The following is a 6,154-nucleotide window of genomic DNA, read 5'->3' as shown; positions in this document are numbered from 1 at the left end:
TCATCTAATGAATAAATTAGAATTAATTTTCTATTAAATTTTCTAAAAGTAATGGCTATTTTTTGCTGCAATTCTGTCTTACTCTATTCAAAGCATTTTGGGCCTGTGTTCACTCTGTAAATATTTATTGAGAACCTATGAGAAACAGGTATTATGCTAAAGACTATAGATATAACAGCGAAATAGAAACCATCCCAGCCCCAAGGGAACTTATAGGCTAGTGGGGAATCAAACAGAAAAGTAATTACCATATGCTAACGAGCTCAGATTGAGATAAAATGAAAGTGCTGTGGGAACACACAGGAAGGGCATCTAGTCTAGTCGTCTTCATAGATCAAAAAGGGCTTCTCAGGAGAAGGGACAGTGAAATTTAACCATGAAGGGTGAATAGGAGTCAGCCAGATCAGGTAGAGGCGAAGAGTGCAAAGATTCTTCCAGGAAGATGAAACAGCATGTACACTCTTAAACTGTCCAGGTTTTCTCTTCTTCATGAAAGAAGTACTAAAACTGATACCCTGAAATGCATGAAGCTTTCTCATTGCTGACATCCACTTAGTAACAGCAACTTGGACACATTGATGGACTAATCATTTGTATACAATACAATAAAGCAAACCTATGTCTGTGAGCTTACTTATATCTACCGAACAGGCCTACTCATTATTAAACTGTAGAAAATAAAAGAAAAATTGTAAGGAACATGATTGATAAGTTAGGATGGTGTTGGCTGCAAGTAACAATAACAACACAATCTAAATTGATGAAACAATTATGAAAGTCACTTCACATAATTGCCAGGAGTAAGGCAGTCTTCTTGTCATACAACAGCTGGGGCTAAGTCTTTAAAGCCCCAGGTTCTTTCTGCCTCTATGCTCTGCCGTATTCAGCATCAGCTTCATCCTATGCCTGCTTCCCCTTGCAGTTATCATTAGGGCCATTGGGACTATATGATTTCTTTTTATTTCTCATATTTTTCTTTCTTTTTGGAAAAATTGTATTTTCTTTTTAATTGACAAATAATAATTACATACATTTATGATGTATAAGGTGATGTTTTGATATATGCTTACATTCTAGAATGATTAAATTAAGCTAATAACATATCCATCACCTCACATATTTATCAAACTTTTCTGGTGAGGACATTTCAAATCTAATGCTTAGGCAATGTTGAGGTATATAGTCATTATTATTAAGTATGTCACCATTCCATGCAATAGATTACTAAGGCTTATTCCTCCTGTATAGCTAAAACTTTGTACCCTTTGATTAATATCTTCCCTTTCCCTATCCACCCACATCCCCCGGCCACTGATGCCTATCATTCATTCTATTCTCAACTTCTACGAGTTTGATTTTTTTATTTTCCATGTCTTAGTGAGATCATATTCACATCCAACAGGAGAGAGTGAGATCCCATACCTCAAGTATGAAATTAGATTGTTCCTTTCAGTCAGATTGGCATGACTTAGGTCATTTCCTACACTGGCCCAAAAGCAGTTTGAAGACTTACACAACGTTTTGTTTGCTCAATGGAGAGATAACACTTAGAGAGGGCAAGAGGTCGGAATATCCTCCCCTGAATTGTGGGGAAAAGGCATAGATACCTAAGGAAATCATCACTCTGTTGGGAAGGAGAAAGGAAAAATGGTTTTGGGAGGGGTAAGTAACAGTGTGAAGCCAAGTTGTTTGCCGTTTCTTCATATTCGTTAAATTCAAATGGAAAGCAATCTCCTGACTCAGAAAATAAAAAAAAAACCAAAAAACCCTTCCATATCATTGGGGATAAAAGGGCATAATTCTAATGGGTTCTAATTCTTTGAACTATGTGTGAATTAGTAAATAGAGATGAAGTAAATGTTGAGTTGTGGAGACCGCTGTCTTATTTTTCCTTCCCTTTACTTCCTGAATTATACTTATGAATTTCTACATTGGTTTCTGTGGTCCACATTTACCATAGAGTAGAAAGAAATTACAGGCATTTATTTAGCTGTAAAAGTATTTTTAGATGTTTTGTGGGCTGTGTATCAATTATCATGTAACATAGATTTAGGAAGGAATGTGCAAAATATATTTAGCAACTTTTGATAATATTTTAAGAGCATTTGATTCTGACACGTGCTATATAATTTATAGAGATGCAGGTTACATCATTAAAAGGTTACATATTGGGGCAATGACAAAAAACATTCTTAATAAAAATACCTTATTCTTGAAACATGGACTGAGAAATATTCCCTCAAAGGAAAAAATAGGTGATGATTGCTCAGGTTTTTCTTTTTAATTTATTTCTCTGTATTTTCTTCTTGTACTTCATATGCAAGTACAGTTTTGTGGCTTCTCATCATGACAAATAGATGATTGAACCAGAAGAAGTGAATGTCAATTGGATGATTGACCCTTATTTTTTATTCAGCACTATTCTTTCCCTCTGGCTACACAGGGTGGAGTGATGTGCTTGCCAGAGGCTGGACAAAGATAAACATATTCCCCTAAGGAAGTGGCAGAGTGCAACTGCATAAGCAAATGCAAAAGGTTTTTTTTCTAAGTTTCTTCAGGGCAACCTTTGATGGCCAGAACAGGAAATAAAATTAGTAGCTTAAATACTAGAAAATAATAATTTCTACCAAATATTTGCATAGTGACATATTTTTCTAAGTGTTTTTGTATACATTATTTCATATAATGGAGTAACCCTGTGATGAGGAAGGGCTGGTAATATTATAAGCATTTCACAGATTAGGAAATTAAAATGTATAGAGGTTATATGAATCTCAAGTAGAACAACCAGGCTTAGGAACTCAAACTTTTGGTTTGTTTCCGTGTGTGTGTGTGTGTGTGTGTGTGTTTGTTTTCTAGTAAAATATTTCACTTCATCTTTTTTAAAAAAGAGAACAATAAATACGAAAACAAAAAAAAAAAAAAAAGAAAAAGAGAGTTGAACAATAACAACGAAAACCCTGACATGTTAAACACACACAGTGATCAATTTCTAAAGAATAGATGTTTGCCGGATTAGGTGCTCTCCCAAGGTAGTAATTGTAAATTTGTAGAAATTGAATGACTTGGCTGGGCACAGTGGCTCACACCTGTAATCTCAGCACTTAGGGAGGCCGAGGTGGGTGGATCACTTGAGGTCAGGAGTTCGAGACCAGCCTGGCCAACATGGTGAAACCCTATCTCTACTAAAAATATAAAAATAACCCGGGCATGGTGGCACATGCCTATAATCCCGGTTACTCAGGAGGCTGAGGCAGGAGAATCGCTTGAACCTGGGAGGCAGAGCTTGCGGTGAGCCGAGATTGTGCCACTGCATACCAGCCTGGGCGACAGAGTGAGACTCCGTCTCAAAAAAAAAAAAAAAAAAAAATAAATAAATAAATTGAATGATTTGAAATATTTTTTAAAATATAGTATTTGCTTTTTTGCACTTTATTTCCTATCAGGCAGAAGTCTTACATACCCAGTGACAGTCTGTGTAATCTCCATCAAATGCATTTCTTATGCTTATTATTTCATACTCTTACCTAAGTCATTCCTCACATGGCAGTGTTTAGGGCTCATGTTACTTGCAAAGACTCTACTCAACGCCTCAGGCACCAGTGATGTGCCCTCTCACATTATTTAGAGGGAATCTGTTTTGGAAAGTAAGTTAAAGGGAAGGGGCTATCGCTGGGAGTCTTTGAAATCACATATGTCACATGGTGGTTACCCATTTCTGGAAGTTCCCTAGATACAATAAAAAATTTGATGATTGACACATAGTTGGCCCTCAATAAACAGCTCTAGATAGCTACTGAGGGTGCTGCTGGAGTGACTGTGTTATATGATTTTGTGCTTTCTGAATACAAAATAGATCTCTGAGTAAGGGATGCTTTTTGACAGCTGCTGATAACATCTGAGAGACAATTTAATTTGTCTTCAACTAAAGTAGCAGAAAATAAAAAAAGCAAACAGGCTACATTACTATCCCTGCTTATTTGATGAATATCAATAAATATGGATGAAACACCTGAAGGAGCACATGAATGCCTAGTTAGCAAATTTGCCAAATATTCAGACAATGGGTATACTACATGATTATGTTTGTGGAAAATAAAAAAGAAAGACACATAAATAGGCTAGTGAGAATGAAGATTCAGTGACAGCATCACACAATATTCATAAAGTATCTTTCATCTGAGTAGTTGAAAGCATTTTAAAAGTGTCCTTATGACACCCTTCTGGTGCTAGTAGGTGGTAAAGAAATATCAACTCCATTTAAATTAAAAAGGATGCTGAAATGGGAGTTGAAAAGTTAAGTGAACTGCTCATTGTCTTGGTTTCACATATGAGGCTGTGTCTATCTGTGGCAAATGTATTGTGTCATTTGCCCCAAACAATCTTTTTCCAGCTCTGTATAAATTATCTACCTGGCAAAAAGAAGACTGAAGCTGGGAGCAAAAATACACTTCTGTGGGTGTAATTGTATTCGTGGCCAAATAGAATTTGGACTTCTTCCATTAGCAGGAATGCCTGGTGGTAGTACTAACTTTAAAATCCTGAGTTGTCAACAAACAGAAGGAGCCCAGTTGAGCAAGATCAGAGAAGAAAAAATGGAGAGATGGGATAAATATGCAGGCACTTTCAAGGATTTAACCTAAGACTCTCCAAAGAGAGATGGATTTGTGGGAAGAGCCTTTCCTTGTGGCTGGGCTCATTTCTTTCCCTTTTCTTCCTCAACTATTATTCTTGCCCCCTTTTGCCCCTTGGCTTCTCCAGAAGTACCAGAAGTGAGTACTGGGAACAGCCAGAATCCAGAGTAAGTTTCTTCCCAGCCAAAGCTAGCAGTACTGACGGTGTTCCTTCTTCCTGTGGAGGACATTGAGCATTTCTCTGAAACACCTTGCAGCCTCATACTTCTCTTCATCTCGTATCTTGCTCACAACTGCCCCACCCTCGCTAATCCTTGACCTTGCACAAGTAATAAGCCAGGCATATTCCTGCCTCAGGGTCTTTCTACTTGCTGTTTCCTCTACTGGAAGTGTTCTTTTTACTGAAAGAATATTTTCATAGTATGTCTTCCCTTGCCTCTCAATATAGATTTAGAGTGACCAAAGATCCTATTTTGCCTGGGACTGAGGATTTCTAGGACGTGAGACTTTTCTGGGCAAATGAGGAGCCCTGGTCACCCTGTCTAAACAACAGCTCCTTCTACCTGGCTTGCCCCCCTTTACTTTTCCTCTCAGCATTGATCACGATCTAATATACTTTACATTTTACCTACCTATCTTTTTCAGTATCTGTCCCTGTGCCACCTCCTGCAATGTTATCTCCATGAGGGTGGGCGATTCTAAAAATTGTTTAAATTTGTTTTATTCGCTCTTGTGTCCCCAGTGTCCAGCATGGCTCAGGGCAGGAAATCAATAACAGATTTTTAAAACATAAATAAATAAATAAATAAGAACTTTAGAAAACATTAATTATATATGAAGAAACCATGTTGTGGGGTAGTATTTCCTGAAGTAGGTTATTGAATCCATAAAGTCTTAGTCAAGTGTAATTTGACTCTAAATATAAATGCATTATTTCCTAATGATGATGAGTTTCTCAGGAAATTTAAACAATGTTTTTGTTGGTATTTTAAAATCTAAGAGTTATTTATTTTAAAAATAAATGTTTGTAAAAATAAACTACTAGAATAGAATGTAGTATTATACTTTGATATCAAGTTGGTGGATAACTTGCGTGGGTTTGGGTCAACTGATTTTAATCTACTGGCATATACTTGTAAATGTAAATTTAATAGTTTTAATCCATGTAAATCTCTTATTTGCCCCCAAGAAAATGTAGGCATATGTTTAATCAACAAACATAACACATTTTCTATTAATATTCAGTTATTATTGACTGAATGAATAGCTGGATGACTTCAGAAGGCAAATATACAGAAAACCAAATCAATTATAATATCTTTGCTGGACAAGAAATCAGAAGTCAGGGGCTTCCAGATACTTAGGGTGACATTCTTGGGTGTCTGACTTTTATTAATCTTGGACCTAACCTGGGGAGCCTGACAGAGTTGTGTACTGTAATAGTAGACAGAGTTGTCTACTATTTGCAAGCATTTTAGTTGTCTCTCACATGTCCAAGTTGGTGGGGTGCTGTGGGTAGA

General features: G+C 36.7%; 1 annotated feature.

The window, feature by feature from the left end:
* Nucleotides 333–402: an enhancer, noted in NCBI's record as "active region_22776". NCBI's record gives its function as "activates an Ori minimal core promoter by ATAC-STARR-seq in GM12878 lymphoblastoid cells {active_cell/tissue: GM12878}" and the evidence as "EXISTENCE:reporter gene assay evidence [ECO:0000049][PMID:35858748]".

Source organism: Homo sapiens, chromosome 5 (assembly GCF_000001405.40).
Source record: "Homo sapiens chromosome 5, GRCh38.p14 Primary Assembly".
Taxonomy (NCBI): Eukaryota; Metazoa; Chordata; class Mammalia; order Primates; family Hominidae; genus Homo; species Homo sapiens.
Note: the sequence above shows the minus strand (reverse complement) of the source record. Positions and strands in the feature narration are given on the sequence as shown.